Below are 25,887 nucleotides of genomic sequence, written 5' to 3'. Positions count from 1 at the left end.
GAATTGACTTGATGATGTGGGCTCTTTTTTTGGTTCCATATGAACTTTAAAGTAGTTTTTTCCAATTCTGTGAAGAAAGTCATTGGTAGCTTGATGGGGATGGCATTGAATCTATAAATTATCTTGGGCCGTATGGCCATTTTCACGATATTGATTCTTCCTACCAATGAGCATGGAATGTTCTTCCATTTGTTTGTATCCTCTTTTATTTCATTGAGCAGTGGTTTGTAGTTCTCCTTGAAGAGGTCCTTCACGTCCCTTGTAAGTTAGATTCCTAGGTATTTTATTCTCTTTGAAGCAACTGTGAATGGGAGTTCACTCATGATTTGGCTCTCTGTTTGTCTGTTATTGGTGTATAAGAATGCTTGTGATTTTTGTACATTGATTTTGTATCCTGAGACTTTGCTGAAGTTGCTTATCAGCTTAAGGAGATTTTGGGCTGTTACAATGGGGTTTTCTAGGTATACAATCATATCATCTGCAAACAGGGACAATTTGACTTCCTCTTTTCCTAACTGAATGCCCTTTATTTCCTTCTCCTGCCTGATTGCCCTGGCCAGAACTTCCAACACTATGTTGAATAGGAGTGGTGAGAGAGGGCATCCCTGTCTTGTGCCAGTTTTCAAAGGGAATGCTTCCAGTTTTTGTCCATTCAGTATGATATTGGCTGTGGGTTTGTCATAGATAGCTCTTATTATTTTGAGATACGTCCCATCAATACCTAATTTATTGAGAGTTTTTAGCATGAAGCATTGTTGAATTTTGTCAAAGGCCTTTTCTGCATCGATTGAGATAATCAAGTGGTTTTTGTCTTTGGTTCTGTTTATATGCTGGATTACGTTTACTGATTTTCGTTATGTTGAACCAGCCTTGCATCCGAGGCATGAAGCCCACTTGATCATGGTGGATAAACTTTTTGATGTGCTGCTGGATTCTGTTTGCCAGTATTTTACTGAGGATTTTTGCATCAATGTTCATCAAGGATATTGGTCTAAAATTTTCTTTTTTTGTTGTGTCTCTGCCCGGCTTTGGTATGAGGATGATGCTGGCCTCACAAAATGAGTTAGGGAGGATTCCCTCTTTTTCTACTGATTGGAATAGTTTCAGAAGGAAGGGTACCAGCTCCTTCTTGTACTTCTGGTAGAATTCAGCTGTGAATCCATCTGGTCCCGGACTTTTTTTAGTTGGTAAGCTATTAATTATTGCTTCAATTTCAGAGCCTGTTATTGGTCTATTCAGAGATTCAACTTTTTCCTGGTTTAGTCTTGGGAGGATGTATGTGTCCAGGAATTTATCCATTTCTTCTAGATTTTCTAGTTTATTTGAGTAGAGATGTTTATAGCACTCTCTTATGGTAGTTTGTATTTCTGTGGGATCGGTGGTGATATCCCCTTTGTCATTTTTTATTGCATCTATTTGATTCTTCTCTCTTCTTTATTAGTCTTGCTAGCAGTCTATCAATTTTGTTGATCTTTTCAAAAAACAAGCTCCTGGATGCATTGATTTTTTGAAGGGTTTGTTGTGTCTCTATTTCCTTCAGTTCTGCTCTGATCTTAGTTATTTATTGCCTTCTGCTAGCTTTTGAATGTGTTTGCTCTTGCTTCTCTAGTTCTTTTAATTGTGATATTAGCATGTCAATTTTAGATCTTTCCTGCTTTCTCTTGTGGGCATTTAGTGCTATAAATTTCCCTCTACACACTGTTTTGAATGTGTCCCAGAGATTCTGGTATATTGTGTCTTTTTTCTAGTTGGTTTCAAAGAACATCTTTATTTCTGCCTTGATTTCGTTATGTACCCCATAGTCATTCAGGAGCAGGTTGTTCAGTTTCCATGTAGTTGAGCGGTTTTGAGTGAGTTTCTTAATCCTGAGTTCTAGTTTGATTGCACTGTGGTCTGAGAGACAGTTATAATTTCTGTTCTTTTACATTTGCTGAGGAGTGCTTTACTTCCAACTATGTGGTCAAATTTGGAATAGGTGTGGTGTGGTGCTGAAAAAAATGTATATTGTGTTGATTTGGGGTGGAGAGTTCTGTAGATGTCTATTAGGTCCGCTTGGTGCAGAGCAGAGTTCAATACCTGGATATCCTTGTTAACTTTCTGTCTCGTTGATCTGTCTAATGTTGACAGTGGGGTGTTAAAGTGTCCCATTATTATTGTGTGGGAGTCTAAGTCTGTTTGTAGGTCACTCAGGACTTGCTTTATGAATCTGGTTGCTCCTGTATTGGGTGCATATATATTTAGGATAGTTAGTTCTTCTTGTTGAATTGATCCCTTTACCATTATGTAATGGGCTTGTTTTTCTCTTTTGATCTTTGTTGGTTTAAAGTCTGTTTCATCCAAGACTAGGATTGCAACCCTTGCCTTTTTTTGTTTTCCATTTGCTTGGTAGATCTTCCTCCATCCCTTCATTTTGAGCCTATGTGTGTCTCTGCATGTGAGATGGGTTTCCTGAATACAGCACACTGATGGGTCTTGACTCTTTATCCAATTTGCCAGTCTGTGCCCTTTAATTGGAGCATTTAGCCCATTTACATTTAACATTATTATTATTATTTGTGAATTTGATCCTGTCATTATGATGTTAGCTGGTTATTTTGCTCGTTAGTTGATGCAGTTTCTTCCTAGCCTTGATGGTGTTTACAATTTGGCATGTTTTTGCAGTCACTGGTACTGGTTGTTCCTTTCCATGTTTAGTGCTTCCTTCAGGAGCTCTTTTAGGGCAGGCTTGGTGACAAAATCTCTCAGCATTTGCTTGTCTGTAAAGGATTTTATTTCTCCTTCACTTATGAAGCTTACTTTGGCTGGATATGAAATTCTGGGTTGAAAATTCTTTCCTTTAAGAATGTTGAATATTGGCCCCCACTCTCTTCTGGCTTGTAGAGTTTCTGCCGAGAGATCAGCTGTTAGTCTGATGGGCTTCCCTTTGTGGGTAACCCGACCTTTCTCTCTGGCTGCTCTTAACATTTTTTCCTTCATTTCCACTTTGATGAATCTGACAATTATATGTCTTGGAGTTGCTCTTCTTAAGGAGTATCTTTGTGGCATTCTCTGTATTTCCTGAATTTGAATGTTGGCCTGCCTTGCTAGATTGGGGAAGTTCTCCTGGCTAATATCCTGCAGAGTGTTTTCCAACTTGGTTCCATTCTCCCCATCAGTTTCAGGTACACCAGTCAGACGTAGATTTGGTCTTTTCACATAGTCCCATATTTCTTGGAGGCTTTGTTTGTTTCTTTTTATTCTTTTTTCTCTAAACTTCTCTTCACACTTCATTTCATTCATTTCATCTTCTATCGCTGATACCCTTTCTTCCAGTTGATTGCATCAGTTACTGAGGCTTGTGCATTTGTCAGGTAGTTCTCGTGCCATAGTTTTCAGCTCCATCAGGTCCTTTAAGGATTTCTCTGCATTGGTTATTCTAGTTATCCACTCGTCTAATTTTTTTTCAAAGTTTTTAACTTCTTTGCCATTGGTTCAAACTTCCTCTTTTAGCTCAGAGTAGTTTGATCTTCTGAAGCTTTCTTCTCTCAACTCGTCAAAGTCATTCTCTGTCCAGCTTTGTTCCATTGCTGGTGAGGAGCTGCGTTCCTTTGGAGGGGGAGAGGTGCTCGGTTTTTAGAATTTCTGTTTTTTCTGTTCTGTTTTTTCCCCATCTTTGTGGTTTTATCTACCTTTGGTCTTTGATGATGGTGACGAACAGATGGGTTTTTGGTGTGGATGTCCTTTCTGTTTGTTAGTTTTCCTTCTAACAGTCAGGACCCTCAGCTGCAGGTCTGTTGGAGTTTCCTGGAGGTTCACTCCAGACCCTGTTTGCCTGGGTATCAGCAGCGGTGGCTGCAGAACAGTGGATATTGGTGAACCGCAAATGCTGCTGCCTGATCATTCCTCTGGAAGTTTTGTTTCAGAGGAGTACCCGGCCGTGTGAGGTGTCAGTCCCCTCCTACTGGGGGATGCCTCCTAGTTAGGCTACTTGGGGGTCAGGGACCCACTTGAGGAGGCAGTCTGCCCATTCTCAGATCTCAAGATGCAAGCTGGGAGAACCACTACTCTCTTCAAAGCTGTCAGACAGGGACATTTAAGTCTGCAGAGGTTATTGCTGTCTTTTGTTTGTCTGTGCCCTGCCCCCAGAGGTGGAGCCTACAGAGGCAGGCAGTCCTCCTTGATCTGTGGTGGGCTGCACCCAGTTCGAGCTTCCCAGCCACTTTGTTTACCTACTCAACCCTGGGCAATGGCGGGCGCCCCTCCCCCAGCCTCGCTGCCGCTTTGCTGCTTGATCTCAGACTGCTGTGCTCGCAATGAGCGAGGCTCCATGGGTGTAGGACCCTCCGAGTCATGTGTGGGATATAATCTCCTGGTGTGCCGTTTGTTAAGCCCATTGGAAAAGCACAGTATTAGGGTGGGAGTGACCCGATTTTCCAGGTGCCATCTGTCACCCCTTTCTTTGAGTAGGAAAGGGAATTCCCTGACCCCTTATGCTTCCGGGGTGAGGTGATGGCTCGCCCTGCTTTGGCTCATGCATGGTGCACTGCACCCACTGTCCTGCACCCACTGTCCAACAAGCCTCAGTGAGATGAACCCAGTACCTCAGATGGAAATGCAGAAATCACCTGTCTTCTGCATTGCTCACGCTGGGAGCTGTAGGCTGGAGCTGTTCCTATTTGGCCATCTTGGCTCCACCGCTGGCAAAGAATATTTTTAAAAGCTTCTGGCTGGCCGGGTGCGGTGGCTCACACCTGTAATTCCAGTACTTTGGGAGGCCAAGGTGGGCAGATCACAAGGTCAAGAGATCAAGACCATCCTGGCTAACATGGTGAAACCCCGTCTCTACTAAAAATACAAAAAATTAGCCAGGGGTGGTGGTGGGTGCCTGTAGTCCCAGCTACTCAGGAGGCTGAGGCAGGAGAATGGTGTGAACCTGGGTGGCGGAGCTTGCAGTGAGCCGAGATTGAGCCACTGCACTCCAGCCTGGGCAACAGAGCAAGATCCTGCCCCCCCCCCCCCCAAAAAAAAGCTTGTTGCACAGTAACTGTACTTTGAATGTGTAAGTTGTGAGTCAAGAAATGGAGAATCCATTTAGGATAAGTTCTCACCAGAGGGATCCCACTGCTAAGGCAGTTCAAAATAGTTTTTTGAATAGAATCGCCTATCATGCAAAGGTCAGTCTTTCCTTCCTGGTGAGCCTAGTTCTGGTCCATGAACGCACAAGCACTGTAGCCGTGGCTGAGCAAGGTGGTGGTTATGCAAACGGCAACATTTTCTTTCATTCACCAAGGCTGATCTGCTGTTGCCATTGGTGACAGGTATTTTGATAAAGGTCACACATAAATTTTGCCAGATATATTACCAGATACCATCTATTTTTTGTTCCTATTGTGAATTAAAAATTCAGATATATTTACTACTTGGTTATTTCTGATGTATAGGAACGTTGTGGTATTTTGTACATTGATCTTGTATCTGTCAAGTTTGTTGAACTATCTTTCTAGTACTACTGTCTTGTTTATACATACTATTGGATTTTAACATTACATTTTAATTATTTTATCTTAAATTAGGGTAAGATTTTTTATATGCTTTTTTTTTTTTTGTAGAAAAAGTTTCACTCTTGTTGCCCAGGCTGCAGTGCAATGGTGTGATCTGGGCTCACTGCAACCTCCACCTCCTGAGTTCAAGCGATTTTCCTGCCTCAGGCTCCCCAGTAGCTGGGGTTACAGGCATGTACCACCACGCCTGGCTAATTTTGTACTTTTAGTAGAGATGGGATTTCTCCATGTTGGCCAGGCTGGACTTGAACTCCTGATCTCAGGTGATCAGCCCACCTTGGCCTTCCAAAGTGCTGGGATTACAGGCATGAGCCAGTGTGCCTGGCTGTATGCAATTTTTATATATCTCATTTTTAAAGTTCATGCAGCAGCCAGGACCTCCAGTATAGATATCTTTCTGTTAGGATCAATGAGAAAGCTTCTCATGTTTCAGCATTAAGGATGATGTTCTATTTTTGATGAATATCTTTAAGTTATTAAGAGAGTTCTTTTTTGTTTGTGTTTTCTGAACCTATGGATTATATTGAAAGGAGAGTTCTTTTCTAAACATATTTTGCTAAGAATTGGTGTGAGATTTTATCACAAGCTTTTTCTGCTTCTATTGAGGACTACGGTTGTTTCTCTTTTGTTCAGTACTGTATAGTGTCTGTCACACAATAGGCATGCAATAAAAACATTTTGGAAAAAAATAAATTCATTGAAATGGTTATATGGTTTTTGTCATTTAATTTGTTAATAACAAATTGTATCAGTGCATGTTCTGTTTTTGAAGAATTGTTGCATTCCTGGAATCAGCCTACTTAGGTAGAGTATTAAAAACTTAATTAACTTTTACCAGTATTTAACTTAGGAATTTCCTATTTGTATTTATAAGTGAGATACTATAATTTTTTTATTGCATTCACTCCATCTTTTCTTTTTAAGAACTTTATTGAGATTATAATTTATACATCACAATATTCAGCCATTCAAAGTGCACAAGTCAATGGTTTCTAGCATATTTACAGAGTTTTGCACCCATCACTACCACCAATCTCAGGACATTTTGTCATCCCCAAAGAAATCTCACACCTATGGGTAGTCACTCTCCAATCCCATCCCCATTCTTGGCCCTAGAATTCCACTAAACTACTTTTTATGTATATAGATTTGCCTATTCTAGACATCCAATACTGATATCAATAATATGCTTTCATTCATCTTTGTATTTTCTTAAAATATTTGCTTAAAGAAGAGATGATCACTTTCTCGAAGGTTTTTATAAAACTCATCTTTGACATTTTAAGGATTTCTTGTCTTGTTGAGAAAATTTTTTATTTCTAATTTAATTCCTTTGATGATTATTGTACACTTGTGTTTTATATTTTGTTAGTGAATCAATTTTGGTGATTTGTAATTTTCATCACTATTTTTCATCTAATTTAATTAGTATTTTGTTTCTCATAATATTCTCTTATAATTTTTAAATATTGACTCATGTATTCAGCATTCATTTCATTTGAAAATGAAAAGTTTCCAACATACAGCAAAGTTAACAGAATTTTATAGTGAATACCCAGATAATCACATCTAAATTTTATAATTAACATTTTAATATACATTCTTTTTTACTTTTTATTTTTCCATAGGTTATTGAGGGTACAGGTGGTGTTTGGTTACATGAGTAAGTTTTTTAGTGGTGATTTGTGAGATTTTGGTGTACCCATCACCTGAGCAGTACACATTGCACCCTATTTGTAGTCTTTTATCCCTCCCCCACCACCCTTCCCCACAAGTTCCCAAAGTCCATTGTATCATTCTTATGCCTTTGCATCCTCATAGCTTAGGTCCCACATATGGGTGAGAACATACAATGTTTGGTTTTCCATTGCTGAGATATTTCACTTAGAATAATAGTCTCCAGTCTCACCCAGGTTGCTGTGAATGCCATTAATTGATTCATTTTTATGGCTGAGTAGTATTCCATCGTATATATATACCACAGTTTCTTTACCCACTCGTTGATTGATGGGCATTTGTGTTGGTTCCACGATTTTGCAATTGCAAATTGTGCTGCTATAAGCATGCATGTGCAAGTATCTTTTTTGTGTAATGATTGATTTTCCTCTGGGTAGATACTCAGTAGTGAGATTGCTGAATCAAATGGTAGTTCCACTTTTAGCTCTTTAAGGAATCTCCACACTGTTTCCGTCTTGGCTGTACTAGTTTACATTCCCGCCAGCAGTGTAGAAGTGTTCCCTGATCACCACGTTCACGCCAACATCTACTGCTTTTTTATTTTTTTAATTATGGCCATTCTTGCAGGAGTAAGGTGGCATCACATTGTGGTTTTGATTTGCATTTCTCTGATCATTAGTTGAGCATTATTTTCATATGTTTTTTGGCCATTTGTATATCTTCTTTTGAGAATTGTCTATTCATGTCCTTAGCCCACTTTCTGATGGGATTGTTTGTTTTTTTCTTGCTGATTTGAGTTCTTTGTAGATTCTGGATATTAGCCCTTTGTCAGATGTATAGATTATGAAGATTTTATCCTACTCTGTGGGTTGTCTGTTTACTCTGCTCACTGTTCCTTTTGCTGCGCAAAAGCTCTTTAGTTTAATTAAGTCCCAGCTATTTATCTTTGTTTTTATTGCTTTTGCTTTTGGGTCCTTGGTCATGAAATCCTTGCCTAAGCCAATGTCTAGAAGGATTTTTCCAATGTTATCTTCTAGAATTTTCATAGTTTCATGCCTTAGGTTTAATTCTTTAATCCATCTTGAGTTAATTTTTGTATAATGCAAGAGATGAGGATCCAGTTTCATGTGGCTAGCCAATTATCTTATTACCATTTGTTGAAAAGGATGTCCTTTCCCACTTTATGTTTTTGTTTGCTTTGTTGAAGATGAGTTGGCTGTAGGTATTTGGGTTTATTTCTGGGTTCTTTATTCTGTTCCATTTGTCTATGTGCCTATTTTTGTACCAGTACCATGCTGTTTTGGTGACTACGGTCCTATAGTATAGTTTGAAATCAGGTAGTATGATGCCTCCAGATTTGTTCTTTTTGCTTAGACTTGCTTTGGCTATGTAGGCTCTTTTGTGGTTCCATATGAATTTTAGTACTGTTTTTTCTAATCTGTGAAGAATGATGATGGCATTTTGATGGGGATTGTGCTGAATTTGTAGATTGCTTTTGGCAGTATGGCCATTTTCACAATATTGATTCTACCCATCCATGAGCATGGGATGTGTTTCCATTTGTTTGTGTCATCTCTGATTTTTTTCAGCAATGTTTTGTAGTTTTCCTTGTAGAGGCCTTTCACCTTCTTGGTTAGGTATATTCTAAGTATTTTTTTTTTTGCAGCTATTGTAAAAGGGGTTGTGTTCTTGATTTGATTCTCTGCTTGGTTGCTGTTGGTGTATGGGAGAGCTACTGATTTGTGTGCATTTATCTTGTATCTGGAAACTTTGCTGAATTATTTTATCAGTTTGAGGAGCCTTCTGGAGGAGTCTTTAGGGTTTTTGAGGTAAACAGTCATATCGTCAGCAAACTGTGACAGTTTGGCTCCCTCTTTACTGATTTGGATGCCCTTTATTTCTTTCTCTTGTCTGATTGCTATGACTAGGACTTCCAGAACTATGCTGAAGAGGAGTGGTGAGAGTGGGCATCCTTGTCTTGTTCCCATTCTCAGAGGGAATGCTTTCAACTTTTCCCCATTCAGTATTATGTTGGCTGTGGGTTTTTCATAGATGGCTTTTATTACATTGAGGTATGTTCCTTGTATGCCGATTTTGCTGAGAGTTTTAATCATAAAGGGGTGCTGGATTTTTGTCGAATGCTTTTCCTGCATCTATTGAGATGATCATGTGATTTTTGTTTTTAATTCTGTTTATGTGGTGTATCACATTTATTGACTTGCGTATGTTAAACCGTCTCTGCATCCCTGGTATGAAACCCTCTTGATCATAGTGGATTATCTTTCTGATATGTTTTTGGATTCAGTTAGCTTGCACTTTGTTAAGGATTTAGCATCTACGTTCATGAGGGATATTGGTATGTAGTTTTCTTTTTTGGTTATATCCTTCCCTGGTTTTGGTATTAGCGTGATGCTGGCTTCATAGAATGAATTAGGGAGGATTCCCTCTTTCTCTGTCTTGTGGAATGGTGTCAATAGGATTGGTACCAATTCTTCTTTATGTCTTGTAGAATTCCACTGTGATTCTGCCTGGTCCTGGACTATTTTTCGTTGGTAATTTTTAAATTGCCATTTTAATCTCACTGCTTGTTATTGGTCTGTTTAGGGTATCTAATTGTTTCTGATTTAAGGTAGGAGGGTTATATCTTTCCAGGAATTTATCCATCTCTTCTAGGTTTTCTAGTTTGTGTGGATAAAGTTGTTCATAGTAGCCTTAAATTATCTTTTGTATTTCTATGGTGTCAGTTGTAATATCTTCCTTTTCATTTCTCATTGAGGTTATTTGGATTTTCTGTCTTCTTTTGTTGGTTAATCTTGCTAATGGTCTATCACTTTTATTTATCTTTTCAAAGAAGCAGTTTTTTGTTTCATTTATCTTTTGTATTTTTTTTTTGTTTCAATTTCATTTAGTTCTTCTCTGATCTTGGTTATTTCCTTTCTTCTGCTGGGTTTGGGTTTGGTTTGTTGTTTTTCTAGTTCCTTGAGGTGTGACCTTAGATTGTCAGTTTGTGCTCTTTCAGTCTTTTTGATGTAGGTGTTTAGGGCTATGAACTTTCCTCTTAGGACTGCCTTTGCTATATCCCAGAGGTTTTGATAGGTTGTGTCGCTAGTGTCATTCAGTTCGAAGAATTTTTAAATTTCCATCTTGATTTCATTTTTGACCCAATGATCACTCAGGAGCAGGTGATTTAATTTCCATGTATTTTCATGGTTTTGAAGGTTCCTTTTGGAGTTGATTTCTGGTTTTATTCCACTGTGGTCTGAGAGAGAGTTTGATATAATTTCAACTTTCTTAAACTTACTGAGGCTTGTTTTGTGGCCTATCATATGGTCCATCTTGGAGAAAGTTCTATGCACTGTTGAATAGAATGTGTATTCTGTGGTTCTTGGATGGAATGTTCTATATACACCTGTTAAGTTCATTTGTTCCAAGGTATAGTTTAAATCCATTGTTTCTTCATTGACTTTCTGTCTTGATGACCTGTCTAGTGCTGTCAATGGAGTATTGAAGTCCCCCACTATTATTGTGTTACTATCTCATTTCTTAGTTCTAGTAGTAATTATTTTATAAATTTGGGAGCTCCCGTGTTAGGTGCATATATGTTTAGGATTGTGATATTTTCCTGTTGGACAAGGCCACTTACCGTTATATAATATTCCTCTTTGTCTTTTTTAACTTGGCAGAGACACAACAAACAAAGAAAGCTTCAGGTCAATATCCTTGATGAACATTGATGCAAAAACCCTTGACAAAATACTAGCAAACTGAATCCAGCAGCACATTAAAAAGCGAATCCACCACAATCGAGTAGGCTTTATTCTTGGATGCAAAGTGGGTTCAATATATGCAAATCAATAAATGTGATTCATCACATAAACAGAACTAAAGACAAAAACCACATGATTATCTCAATAGATACAGCAAAGGCTTTTGATAAATATCAGAATTTCTTCATGTTAAAAACCCTCAATAAACTAGGTATCAAATGAACATTCCTCAAAATAATAAGAGCTATCTGTGACAAACCCACAGCCAACATCATACTGAATGGGCAACAGCTTGAAACATTCCTCTTGAAAGCTGGCACAAGACAAGGATGCCCTCTCTCACCACTCCTATTCAACATAGTATTGGAAGACCTGTCCACCAATCAGGCAAGAGAAAGAAATAAAGGGCATCCAAATAGGAAGAGAAGCAGTCAAACTATCGCTGTTTGTAGGTGACATGATTCTGTATCTAGAAAACCCCATGGGCATGGCTCAAAAGCTCCTTCAGTGGATAAACCATTTTAGTGAAGCTTTAGGACACAAAATCAGTGTACAAAAATTCTTAACATTCCTATACACCAACAACAGCTAAGCTGAGAGCCATATCAGCCATACAATCCCATTCACAATTACCACAAAAACAAAATACCTAGGAATATAACTAACCAGGGAGGTGAAAGATCTCTACAATGAGAATTACAAAACACTGCTCAAAGAAATCAGAGATGACAGAAACAAATGGAAAAGCATTCATGCTCGTGGATAGGGAGAATCAATATCATTACAATGACTATACTGCTCAAAGGAATTTACAGATTCAATGCTATTCTTATCAAACTACCAATGACATTTTTTATAGAACTAGAAACAACAATTTTAAAATTCATACGGAACCAAAATGAGCCCAAACAGCCAAGGCAATCCTAAGCAAAAAGAACAAAGCTGGAGGCATCATGCTAGCTGACCTCAAACTATACTACAGGGCTACAGTAACCAATACAACATGGTACTGTTATTAAAAAACAGACACAAGACCAATGGAACAGAATAGAGAACCCAGAAAGAAGGTCTCAAACCTACAACTGTCTGATCTTTGACAAGATGACAAAAGAAGCAATGGAGAAAGGGTCCCCAATTCAATAAATGGTGCTGGGGTAATTGGCTAGCTATATGCAAATGATTGAAACTGGACCCCTTTCTTATACTACAAACAAAAAACAATGCAAGTCATATTAAAGAGTTAAATGTAAAACACAAAACTATAAAAACCTTGGAAGACAACCTAGGCAATACCATTCTGGACATAGGAAGTGGCAAAGATTTCATGATAAAGATGCCAAAAGCATTTGCAACAAAAGCAAAAGGGGACAAATGGGATCTAATTACACTTGAGAACTTCTGCACGGCGAAATAAAATATCAACAGAGTAAACAGACAACCTACAGAATGGGATAAAATATTTGCAAGCTATACATCTGACAAAGTTCTAATATTCAGCATCTATAAGGAACTTAAACAAATTTACAAAAAAAAAAAAAGCCAAACAACCCCATTAAAAAATGAGCAAAAGATATGAACCGATACTTTTCAATAGAAGATATATATGTGGCCAGCAAGTATATATAAAAAAGCTCAGTATTACTGATCATTAGAGAAATGCAAATGAAAACCACAATGAGATACCATCTCACACTAGTCAGAATGGCTACTATTAAAAAGTAAAAAAATAATAGATGCTGGCGAGGTTGCAGAGAAAAGGGAATGCTAATATACACTGCTGGTAGGAGTGTAAGTTAGTTCAACTGTTGTGGTAAGCAGTGTGGTGATTCCTCAAATAGCTAAAAACAGGACTACAATTTGAAACAGAAATCCACTACTGGGTATATACCCAGAGGAATAGAAATTATTCTACCATAAAGACACATGCACACATATGTTCATTGCAGCACTATTCACAACAGCAAAGACATGGAATCAACATAAATGTGCATCAATGACAGATTGGATAAAGAAAACGTGGTACATTTTCACCACAGAATGCCATGCAATCATAAAAAGGAACGAGATTATATCCTTTGTGGGAACGTGGATGGAGCTGGAGACCATTATCCTTAGCAAACTAACACAGAAAACCAAATACTGCATGTTTTCACTTATAAATGGGAGTGAAATGATGAGAACACATGGGCATAAAGAGGGGAACAGCACACAGTGGGGCCTACTTGAGGGTGGAGGATGGGTGGAGGGAGAGGATCAGAAAAAATAACTATTGGGTACTAGGCTTATTATCTGGGTGATGAAATAATCTGTACAACAAATCCCTGTGACACCAGTTTACCTATATAACAAACCTGCACATGTACCCCTGAACCTAAAATAAAAGTTTAAAAAATTGCTTTTGTTTAAATAAGCTTCACTGAGATATAGCCTACATATAATTCACCAATTTTCATTTACAATTTGATCATTTTTGAAAAATGTATATATGTATTAATCACAATGACAATGATAATACAGAACATTTCCATTGCAACAGATTGTTTCCTCCTCCCACCCCTTGGCCCTTGGCAACCACAGATCAACTTCCTATGACTATAGTTTTGATTTTGCTACAATTTCACATAAATAGAATCAAAATAAGGTAGTCATTTGTGTCTGGGTTCTTTGCCTTAGCGTAGTGATGTTGATATATTTATCCATTCCACCATACACATATATAAGTAGAAGTCTTTGTGAAGACATATGTGATCATCTATCTTGGTAAATGCCTATGAGTGAAATTGCTGGGCCACATGGTAAGTATGTGTTTAACTCTATTGGAAACTGCTTAAGTACTTTCCAAAGTGTCTGTACTATTCTGTATTCCCATTGGCAACATATGAGGATTTCAATTGCTCTCCAAATCCTTGCTAATATTTGCTATTGAAGATATTTTTCATTTGAACCATTCTAGTGAGCATAAAAAAATTGAATTTTTACTTAAAAATTTCTCATGAAGACAACTCCAGGTCCGGATGGCCTTGTGGTGAATTTTAACAAACATTTATAGAAAGAAATAATACTAATTATAAACCAAATTTTCCAAAACATAGAAGCAGATAAATATTTCCTAATTCACTTCTTGGGACTCTGATACCCAAACCAGACAAAAACATACAAGAATAGAAAACTCCGAACAAATATCCTCATGAATATACATGCAAAACTTATTATCTCAACATCATCAAGTGAAATCCAGCAATATTTAAATCAGTAACATTTCACGACAAGATGGGATTTACTCCAAGAATGCAAGGTTGCTCTTAGCATTCTAAAATCACACAATGTAATTCACCATATTATTAGACCAGAAAAGAAAAGCATATGATCATCTAAACAGATGCAGAAAAAGTCTTTGATAATGTTTATCTTCCACTTATAATTAAAAAGAAAAGAACTCATCAAACTAAGAATAGATGAGAACACCCTTAACTTGTAAAGGGACATATATATTTTAAAAATTAACATCTACCATTATATTTAAAGGAAAAAACACTGAGTGCTTTCCCTCTTAGATGGAGAACAAGGCAAGGATGCCTGCTTTCACCACTTCTATTCAAGACTGTAGTGTAGTTCTGGCCAGTATAGTAAGGCAAGAGAAAAAAAAGATAGATTGAAATGAAAAGAGTAGCACTCTCTTTATTAATAGATTAATGGAGAAAATTTAAGAAATTTACAAATGTTAGTAGAACTAGTCAGTTTAGCAGAGTCACAAGGTACAAAGTACAAGATATTAAAAATCAATTGTATTTCTATATACTAGCAAGAAAACAAAGTACATTGCTACATTCAGTTTTGATAGAGGAAGCCAGAGTGCTATGTAGCTTAAACTGAATCACTTTATTCTTCTTTAATTTGGGGGCGTTCAGATGGGTACAAATTAAATGCTTGATTTTATGATAATTTTTATTTCTATGACCACTACTGAATTTTTGCATACTTTCACTTTTTGCGAACCATCTGGTTTACACTCCTGTAGTTTGCCTATACTTAATCTTCTTTGGAGCATTTGTATTTTGCTTATCTACATGTAAGTATTCTTGGAATGTCAAATATCTTATCTCTTTCCTGTAGTATTTGTTGAAAATATTTTTCCAGCTCTATTATTTCTCTATCAACTTAGCTTGTGGAATTTGTGTCATTCAAAATTTTAATTTTATATAGTCAACTACACTTTTTATTATAGCATTTCCTGTGTAAATTTCTTATCTTGGCTGAGAAGTTCTTCCTCACCCTACAAGTGTACGTTGTCTACATGTTCTCTTCTAATATCTTCTCATATAAAACAAAAACAACTCAGAAATTATTGTAAACTGTACAAGATGGGTGTAAACTGTTTTATGTTATGAATACACAGCCACCTCTGACAGATGCATTTGAAATGAAAGTTGTTCCTTCTTCACAGAAGAAAAATAAAATCTTCGTGACATAGTTTGGCAATGCTGTCTGGCTTTATTATTTTATATTAATTCATGCTTTTCTTTACCAAATGTATTAGCTGTTCTAATACCTGATAAAATAAGTCTTCCCAGAATGCTTTAACTAGTGATCCTTTTCATCCCTTTCTTGTCTATTCTCAAGAATTTATTCTTCCATGTGAGTATCAAAATCTTCTTATCAAATCATGAAAAAATAGGATTCTAATTAAATTCTCATCAGCTGCACATACTTATTTGAAGAAAATTGATATTTTCACTGTCTTTCCAACCATAAACATTGTTTCTCAATCTCTTCATATATTGTTTTACATCATTCAAAGAAATATTAATTTTTCTTATACAAGTTGCCTCTAAGAACTTCTGAGATTTTTGCCATTGTGAATGAGTATGTTTTCCTGTTTCCATGATATGACAAACAATTTCTAGTACAGAAAAAAAGGTCAAGTTTTGTGTACTCATTTTTTACTCAGTGTAGAAGATACTAGATTGGGTCATTCCAGTTTATTCCAAAACTCTTCTAGAGTTCAAAGTGTAGAAAGCTAAAAAGCATGGCCTCCCGACATAATTCAGTTCCAATTAGTCAGATGCATTTTGCTCATATAAATCCTGATGGAAAGAAATGGTTCTTAAGCAGAAACTGTAGCAACTATATCCTAATTCAGCATTTGGCATCTCCATCCAGCAGGTGTTTTTACAATGGAGACAGATGTCTAGAAGTCCTGCAGTCAGCAGTAGCAATAGCAGCTCCCTGATTCATCAACTTCCTGCAATGCTGTTATCAGTATTTTTTTTTCAACAGAAGCAAAGCTATTCTCAGTGCAAGGATATTCATTAGAGAATCTGAGAATAGAGCCTCTTCTTTTAACCCTTCTTACAATTATTATTTAATACAACATTTACTGTTTTAAATCTTTTTTTTCTTAGAGTGGATTCTATTTTCTGCTAATTGAACATTAATAGATACACCATCCGCATTACAAAATTCTCTTTTTAATTCTTATTAGTTCTCTTAGTTTTGTTTTAGAGTCTCTTGGATTGTTCTTGGCAAATTAGCATATCAACACCAAATATATACAATTTACTTATTTTCTAGTGTTCATACAGTGGTTTCATTTTTGCATTCTTTAAAAAAGCAACCACTCACAACAATAATTCAAAATGCTGGCTGGGCACAGTGGCTCACGCCTGTAATCCCAGCACTTTGGGAGGCTGAGGCGGGTGGATCACCTGAGGTCAGGAGTTCAAGACCAACCTGGCCAACATGGTGAAACCCCGTCTCTACTAAAAATACAAAAATTAGCCAGGTGTGGTGGCGTGCGCCTATAGCCCCAGCTACTTGGGAGTCTGAGGCAGGATAATCGCTTGAACTGGGGAGGTGGAGGTTGCAGTGAGCTGAGATCGTGCCACTGCACTCCAGCCTGGCTGACAGGGTGAGACTCCATCCTCCATCTAAAAAAAAAAAAAAAAAAAAAAAAAAAAAGCACATGATATGGATGGTTTGGATCTGTGTCCCTACCGAAATCTCATCTCATGTTCAACTGTAATTCCCAATGTTGGAGGCAGGGCCTAGTGGGAGGTAACTGGATCCTGGGGGCAGTTTCTCATGGTTTAACACCACCCTCTTTGGAGTTGTCATTGCTACTTTATTGTTGAAAAATGTGTGGCACCTCCCTGCGCTCTCTGTTCTACTGCTCCTTCCATGTAAGACACTTGCTCCCACGTTGCCTTCTGCCATGTTTGTAAGTTTCCTGAGGTCTTCCCAGAAGCCAAATAGATGGGCAACCTCATGCTTCCTGTAAACCCTGCAGAACTGTGAGCCAATTAAACATCTTTTTAAAAATATAAATTACCCAAGCTCAGGTATTTCTTTATAGCAATGCAAGAATGGACTAATATGACATACAGACAAAAGGATAAGAATTAAATATCTTAGAAGAGGTGCCTGTGGAGAGGAGAGGAATAGGAGTAGAATATGAGGTTAAAAGGAAACCAGTGAAGAATAGAGCCTTTAAATGAACAATGATGATGAGGTGCTATGAACTAAGAAATTTTGTTTAACTTGACCTTCTGTGCATGAGTTAAAATTAAATCCATCCATCAATATGTACCATACAAGCAAATGTGGCACCAGACATATCAAACAGGCAAGGTAGACTTTATTCAAGACTATAGCAATAGCAGAGAGAGATTAAACTCAACTCTTCTGAAACCAAAGGCAGGGGAGTTTTTCAACACAGGGTAATCATTTAGAAAAGTACTAGATGACATTAGCAGAGAGGTTGGTTAATGGAGTACGTCCACCACATTAACTTATTCCTGAGTTTGCTACATTTTTCTCTGTGATTAGGCCATCTGTGTTTACAAATTGGCATCTAAGTTGGGCTCCTATCCTCCCACAGAGACTGGGAGATAGAGATGCTTTCTCCTTCAGAGTTTTCATTTCAAAGAGATGGTTCCCAGGTCCTTAAGAAAGATTATTCCCTGGGTTGTAAAACTGGCAAGAGGATTGGAGAATATTTACACACATTTCAAAGAGGCAGAGAAAGAATTTGCAACTTCAAGTTTTCTAAAGTAAATGCTCTAAAAAAAGGGTGGCTAAGTCTTATATTCAGGAAGAAACCTGTCTAAAGTTTAGTCAAGCTGAGGTGAATGTTGAGGCTGTCTTGGTCAATACATCCATACATATAAGGAAATTTCTAAGATAATGAGGTAAAAAATTTGCTTCTGGCTGAACCCCAAGGAATGCAAGGCATCAACTCAGCTGCCTCCTGGGCTTGCAGGCTCAGCTGCCCACCCACTGGGTATTATCATCTAGCTGCTTTTCTGAATGGCTGGATTTTAGAAGTCTTTATTTGCATCACATTCTTGGGGTAATATTTAGAACGATAAGAGAAAGTAGTGAAAAAAAAAACCAACTGTGGAATCGTGTTTGAAATAGTCTAAGTGCTCAAATATCTATTTGTCAAGAATCAGAACTTCTCAAAATTATATTTCTCTTTTTTCTTTTTGGATTCAGCACAAGATTAGAACAATCTAGAAAAGGGTTTTGAGCTCTTTACCTGGAAGGCTCCTGGCATGCGAGCTAATATATTTCTTTTTTTCTAATACTGACACCTATATAGACAAAAGAAGTCTTTTCCTAGAGAAAGATAGTTGTTGTTCTTTTCCTCCTGTGTGAAGGTTTACTGGGGCATTTGTTAATGGGTCAGAGTACCTCGAGGCTCTCTCCACTGGGGATAACAAGAGTTATGTCAGCCTTGATATCTCTGGCCAGCTCCTTGGGCACTTATCACTTCTTTTCATCCCTTCCTCTCCTCCATGTCTCCCTTGCTGTGTGCTTTCTTTGTCATTGAGCTCTCCTGCAGCTCTGCTCTCATAGTGGGGTCATTCTCTCCTACCCCCCATCATCTATCCCTCCTTGATCTTGTTTTTATTTCTCTATTCACTAACATATTCCGATCTGCTCTCAGAATTGACTCTTCTTTTGCTTGGGAACATTGAAAGATTAAAATTAAGGCAATGGGTAACATCAAAGTCTAATCATAACCAATTGGTTAATTGTGCGGATCACTGCACATAAGTTATCTAAATAAAAGTCTTAAAACCACGCAAGAGAGATGTTACATGCCATTTTATGACTGGAAAAATTGAGATAAGAAAGGCTTAAAACCCTTCCAAAGATCATAGAGCTAGTAAGAAACAGAACTAGGGCTTTATGACCTAATCCCAACTATGTCTTCAAGGCCATGTTTATTTTCGTATATCCTGCTGCCTTCTCTGGTCTTTGGAGCAAAAAGCCTGCATTTCTTTAGGGTAATGAAACTTCAGGGAAGCTGAAATTAGGATTCTGGCACTTGCCAGTCTAGAAGAGATAGAAGAGAGGACATTAAGAAGGTAATTTGAGTTCCCTGTGGCTCAATACATCATCTCAACCAACATCCCACTTCTATGGATGCCAGAACATTGATATTTCTGCTGTTATAATGATCTCTAGTTCTGTCCACCTATCAGGACAGTGAGTTACAGGAAATGCAAATGATGCAAGATTCAGGCTTTTTTTTTTTTTTCTGGAGAAAATGAGGGCAGGTGCCTTCTTACAACCAAACATCTAGGCTATCTCTGGGCTATGTTACTTGGGCTCTACTTTATAAAATTTAAAACTGTAACATATTAAAATTTTTTTTAACATCATGTGGCTTATTTTCTAAAAGAGGAAGAACTAAACAACAGAAAAATCTTCATCTTAATTAAAATAACACCAACTGAATTCCTTGTGTCCCTGTTTCCTTTACATACACCACCTTCAAAAACCTCAATTTCAACCACTTTATTCTAACACAGCCACATCTTTTCTAATTAATATGATTTGGTGTTCCCAAGCCAACCATTCCTCACATGCATTGAGAATGCTGATCCTTGTGTCTGCCACATTTTCATTCTCATGCCACTCATATCATCACTTCTCTTTTTACACAGACTAAATTCACTTGTTAAGTCATCTCTTCCTTTATCCCCTCACATGTCTGACATAAAGGCAACTTACTCTTCACACATAGCAAACTGGAGAAAAATCACACAACAATGACCACTGGACTCAAATTAATAATAAAAATATTGAATAGACCTTCCACACTACCATCAAGCCAACATTAGCCTCCCTAGCACACGCTTATTGATGACTTACCTTGCCGTTTATTGACAGCACAGAGGCAGTAAATAGAGAATGTCTTTCCCTTCCAGACACTACAATTCCTGCCTTCCCTGTACCATTTTATACATGCTTTGCTTTCCTTCATTTTGCAGTGGATAAGGAATCCCTATTCCCAACGTGATCTCCACTATTCTCTGGATCATTATGGAATTCCCATTTGCAATAAATTCATGGCTTCAATCAGCCCCTCTGCTGCTGCATTAGCAATTTCTCCCTGCATTGGCAAATGCTATGGTCTGTTTTCTATCTAAATTTTTTTTTCTAGCAAAGACATGGAATCAACCTAGGTGCCCATCAACGCTGGATTGGATACAGAAAACGTGGCACATATACACCATGGAATACTGTGCAGCCATAAAAAATAATGAGATCATGTTGTTTGTAGTAACACGGATGCAACTGGAGGCCATTATTCTAAGCAAATTAGTGCAGGAACAGAAAACTAAAGAACTTATGTTCTCACTTATAAGAGGCAGCTAAACACTGGGTACTCATGGATATAAAGATGACAATAATAGACACTGGGGACTACTAGAGGGAGAGGGAGGGAGGGGGACAAGGGTTGAAAAACTAACTGTTGGGTGTTACACTCACTACCTTGGTGATGGGATCAATTGTACCCCAAACCTTAACATCACACAATATACCCTTGTAAGAAACCTGCACATTTACCTCTGAATCTAAAACGAAAGCTGAAATTATAAAAAAAATTTTTTGAAAGACCTAATGGCATCAGACTGGACTAAGGTTGAGGGTATAGAATATAACAAAATCAAAGATGTTAATTGTGTCTAAAGAATTAGTGAAGATGGTTCAGAATTTTAACCTTGATTCCAAGGTCAAGAAATACTGTGCAGAAAGATTTAAGACTCAGAGGAAATAGGGAAGCAGAAAATGAAGTTTTAAAACATTTATTTTATTCCAAGGGAAAGTTTTCTGTTTGATTCTGAGGAACCACAGCATTATCTCCGAGTTCATCCTTCTTGGGGTGTCTACTAACAGCCATATTCAGGCTCTGCTATTTGTGCTGTTCCTGGGAGTTTACTTCCTGGCCCTGATAGAGAATTTGGTAATGCCACTGGTGATCAGAACTGATTCCACCTCTGCATACCCATGCACTTCTTTCTGGGATGTATTTGTTCATTTTTCTGCTGTCACATAATACCATAGATTGGGTAATTTATGAAGAAAAAAATTTATTTGACTCATGATTGTGGAGGCTGGGAATCCAAGATTGAGGAGTTGCATCTGGTGAGGACCTTCTTGCTGTGTCATATAACATGGTGGAAGGGCAAGCATGCACATGAGACTGAGGGGAGATCATACCAAACTCATCCTTTTAATCAGACACCCATCTCATGGCAACAGCATTAATCTATTCATGAGGGTAGAGCCTAATCATCTCTCTCTTTTTTTTTTGGAGATGGAGTCTCCCTCTGTTGCCTAGGCTGGAGTGCAGTGGCACAATCTAGGCCCACTGCAACCCCCACCTCCTGGGTTCAAGTGATTATCCTGCCTCAGCCTCCCGAGTAGCTGGGATTACAGATGCCCGCCACCATGCCCAGCTAATTTTTGTATTTTTAGGAGAAATGGGGTTTCACCATGTTGGCCAGGCTGGTCTCAAACTCTTGACCTCAGGTGACCCACCTGTCTCGGCCTCCCAAAGTGCTAGGATTACAGGCATGAGCCACTGTGCCCAGCCACATCTTAAGGACTAATTGCCTCTTAAAGGCTCCACCTCTTAATGGTGATACAATGGCAATTAAATTTCAACATGACTTTTGGAGGGGTAGGTGTTGTTTGAGCCAATATTGACTGACCAAAGAAGCCCACCATCCTCAGAAGGAAGGACATTCCAGTCAGAAGAAAGAGCTAATGCAGAGGCTTTGGCACAGAAGAAACTTGAGTTAATTGGGGACAGAAAGAAGGCTGTATGACTGAAGCTCAGCAAGCGATGGGTAAAAAAGGCTGTCCGCAGTCAGATCCCATAGTAACTTTTAGACCATGATGTCAGGAATTTGTGTTTGATTCTCAGTGATATAGGAGAGTTTTGAAAGATTACTCTGGCTTCTCTATGGAGCACTAATTATAGAAGGACAAGAGTAGAATCAGGAATGATGATTAGGAGCTATTGCAAGACTCCATGTGACATCTGACGGTATTTTTTTACTAAAATTGATCAGATAAAAAGAGAAGAGAAATTTGGAATATGTTTTGGAAGTACAGTTATAGGGCTTGCTGCTACATTAGATATAGACCAGAAAAGAGAGAGAGGGCTCAAGGTAAGTCTAGATTTTCTCTTGGGCAACTGAGTAGATGATGGTACATCATTTACTGAAGTCAGGATAATCGGGGACATGCACATTAGGAAGGCGAAACTTGAGGATTTGTTTTCTGTTAGTTTGGCTGGTTGGTTGCATTTTGACTAAAATGCCCAAATCTGTATTAGATATCAGAGTGGAATGTCAAGTATCCAGTTGTATATATTATTTTGAAGCTCTAGAAAATGGTCAAATGGTCAGGGCTAATATATGGGGTGTATGGAGTATTCAGAGCTGTAAGACTGGCATAGAACATCTAAGGAAAACGTTTTCCAGAACATCTAAGGAAAACAAATCCTGGAAAGAAGACCTGCAGCATGCCAGCATTTCTAGTTCAAGCTGAGGATGATCCACCAAGAGAAACTGAGGCACAGCAGCCATTGAACAAGGAGGAAAATCATAAAATTTTTGTATCACAAAAGCCAAGAGAAGAGAGTGCTTCAAGAATAGAGAGGTTAGCTGTGTTGAGTGCCATTGAAAATTCAAATAAGAAAAGAACAGAAAAGCTACCACTGGATTTTGTAACATTGGATTTAAAAGTAGTTGGCAATATTGATGAGAGAAGTTTCAGCTAGCTAGGATAAGTTGAAAAGAGAATGGTAGGTGAAAAAGTAGAGCGATCAACCGCAGTTAACTTTATTGAGAAGTGTTCCTGTGAAGGAGATTGAGAAAATAAAGCAGTATGTTTAGAGGATGTGAAGTCAAGGGAGCTATTTGTTTTTGGTTTTGTTTTGGGTTTTGTTTGTTTTTAGTACGTGAAAAAATACTGAAGTTTGAGTGTTCATGGATATGGTCACATAGGCAATATAATATCAGGATTTTAGCTAGGATGGAGGCAAACAAACTTTGAATCTCTTCTACAGCCACTGATGGGAATGAGTTCTTGATGACATTCAAACGGAGGCTGGATAGACACTTACTGGAGATGCTGAATGGGGCTCATGTATTAGTTGGAGATAGAAATAAAGTGATCCATGTGATCTTTTATGCTCCTTAGACTCCTATGATTCTAGAAGGAAGGCTTAGCTGTTTGCATTTGTGTGAGAGAACGTGGGTGTGAGTATGTGTGCATGCAGGTGTATAGTGAAGATCAGGTCCTGCCAAACCTGAGGAGGCCCCACGCTGGTCCCTGGCTAGCAGAAGGGTTAGCAAGCCTTCAGTGCCTCACTCCATGGTCTTTCCCTAGACCACAAAAGTGGCAGGAGTGGATGCCCATCCCAGGGGCCCAGGTCACTGGATAATACTACCTTCCCCATGAGTATAGATTAATCCCCAGCAACTTAGGGCCCAGATTACTCTCTTTCCTTCTCCAAGGGCCAGCCTGGCACATGGATACCAAGTAGAAAAAGACTAGAAAAAATGAAGAAAGTCACACAAACTGGCTAGGAGCCATCCTCTGAACCAGTAATGGTAAAGGAGTAATGAGGAGGAAGAAAAAGAGGATAGCCCAAGCCTCTTAGCAGGTACTGACTGAAACCAGAGCCCATGCATACCAACACACTAGCCTTTATCCAAAACTAAACACATGTTGAATATTGTTTAAATGCACTACCATACAGTTGTCAACTGGTTGGAAAAGAAAACCAGATTTTCCGGAGAACTGCGTGAGTTCTTTGAGCACCCCACATCATTTGTTTCTCCAAGTGAGGCAGTAGTCAGGAGCTTATCTCCAGGAAGAACTGGAGTCAACAGTCCTTGTCAGTCCTTCCCATACTGCCACATGTGAGGAATCTTAATAAGCAACTGTTCCAGACTTTTCATTGCACAGCACAGAGAACTGGCTCAGAAAAAGGAAGCAGAAAGCGCCTGCCAAATTCACAAAAGTAGGTCATGAACAGAGCTGGAATAAGATATTTTAGGAAGTTGAACAGTTTGTCGCTTTATCAATCTGTAATTGTTTGTCCTTTTCCTTCATTTATCAGATTTTGGACAAAAGGCTAAGATTCCTTTGGAATAAATTAGTGGGGGTGAAGTGCCATAGTTGCTAGATGGGGAGCTGGATGGAAGCCAAGGAGGAGCAATCCTGAATTATGGGTAACAGTGAGTTTGGAGTATTCTCATTTTCTCTGGTGGGGGATTTCCTAGCTAAATGCCAAGATCTTTGGCTGAAATTAATTTGAGATGTCATTTAGTTCAAGGTCTCATCCTCAAGCAATACAAAGTAGGTAGAAAGCAGAGACTAATTGTGCAGTTCCATATAATTTTTCAGGATAAAGCAAACTCTATAATCCCCATTCATATTCTTGTCATAAAAAGTGTAAAAAAGTTTTCATTCCTTAAAAGTCAAAACAACATGTGTCTACAAAGATTTACTCAGGGAGACCACAAAGTCTGCAACTAGGGTGTGGGAAGAAGGAGGAAAAGAACATCTTTGATACCAGTTTCTTCCCACTCCACGGGAGCGCAGCATGCTTCACTTCAAGACACTCTTCAAAAGCTTTTCTTTTGCCTTCTCTACCAGGGACATTTCAATGCAGAGAAGCCCCAGCCTCCAACCTCCTCAGTGGCCTCAGGACCGCCCTCTTCTTCAGACAAGTTTCCTAGAACACAGATTTGGGGTTGAAGAGTGCTAGACAGAGGGCAGGCAAAAGGCAGAAAAACTAATAGAAAAATCAAACTGTTGAGCCATTTTTATTCTTCAACTGAGCAACCAAGTCTCCTTCTTAAAGAAATGGCTTCTCAGCCAAATTCAATTTTATTAGAGGGCATGTAGGGCAAATATAGAATGGTAAAAGAAAGAGGTGCATATTCCTTATTGGAATTAGGCTTAGTTAAATGCTGAATTTGAAGCAAAAAAGTAGAATGTGAATTTATATTACTCCACCCAAAAAGATATTTTTCATTAAAAGTATAAAAAACGTATTTTTTAAAAAAGTAAAATCAGGCTGGGCATGGTGGCTCATGCCTGCAATCCCAGCACTTTGGGAGGCCAAGGCAGGCAGATCACCTGAGGTCAGGAGTTCAAGACTAGCCTGGCCAACACGGTGAGACCTCGTTTCTATTAAAAATACCAAAATTAACCAGGCATGGTGGCATGCACCTGTAATCCCAGCTACTCGGGAGGCTGAGACAGGAGAATTGCTTGAACCCAGGAGGTGGAGGTTGCAGAGCCAAGATTGCGCCATTGCACTCCAGCCTGGGCGACAAGAGCAAAACTCTGTCTCAAAAAAAAAAAAAAAAAGAGTAAAACCAAAAGAATTGTCCACTCTGTTACCACCCTAACAACTCAGCTGTTTATTTTAAGTTCCATATAAGCCCCTGCAGTGTGCACATTTTTATATAATCAAATGAATTTAAACTAACTGTGTTTTCTGATCTTTTTACTAGATAGCATATCAAGAATATTTTCCGTTTCTGTCTCTCCTCTGTAATTATTATTTTAATAATTAGAAA

The 25,887-nt window shown here is 38.3% G+C and overlaps 1 protein-coding gene and 1 pseudogene across 2 annotated transcripts in view; one reads left to right on the top strand and one right to left on the bottom strand.

The window, feature by feature from the left end:
- Positions 1-25,301, bottom strand: part of C12orf54 (chromosome 12 open reading frame 54) — an 83,371-nt gene extending 58,070 nt beyond the window's left edge. The window contains exon 1 of one of the 2 annotated variants that reach the window (XM_017018796.2): positions 24,873-25,301. The gene's annotated coding sequence lies outside the window, so the exon portion shown is untranslated. The remainder of the gene's footprint in view (positions 1-24,872) is intronic. The other variant, XM_011537896.3, reaches the window with a different exon arrangement.
- OR8S21P (olfactory receptor family 8 subfamily S member 21 pseudogene) lies at positions 21,118-21,305 on the top strand (annotated as a pseudogene).
- Positions 25,302-25,887: the final 586 nt, after the last annotated feature.

The sequence above is a fragment of the Homo sapiens genome, chromosome 12 (assembly GCF_000001405.40).
Source record: "Homo sapiens chromosome 12, GRCh38.p14 Primary Assembly".
Taxonomy (NCBI): domain Eukaryota; kingdom Metazoa; phylum Chordata; class Mammalia; order Primates; family Hominidae; genus Homo; species Homo sapiens.
This window is presented reverse-complemented; position numbering and strand designations above follow the sequence as displayed.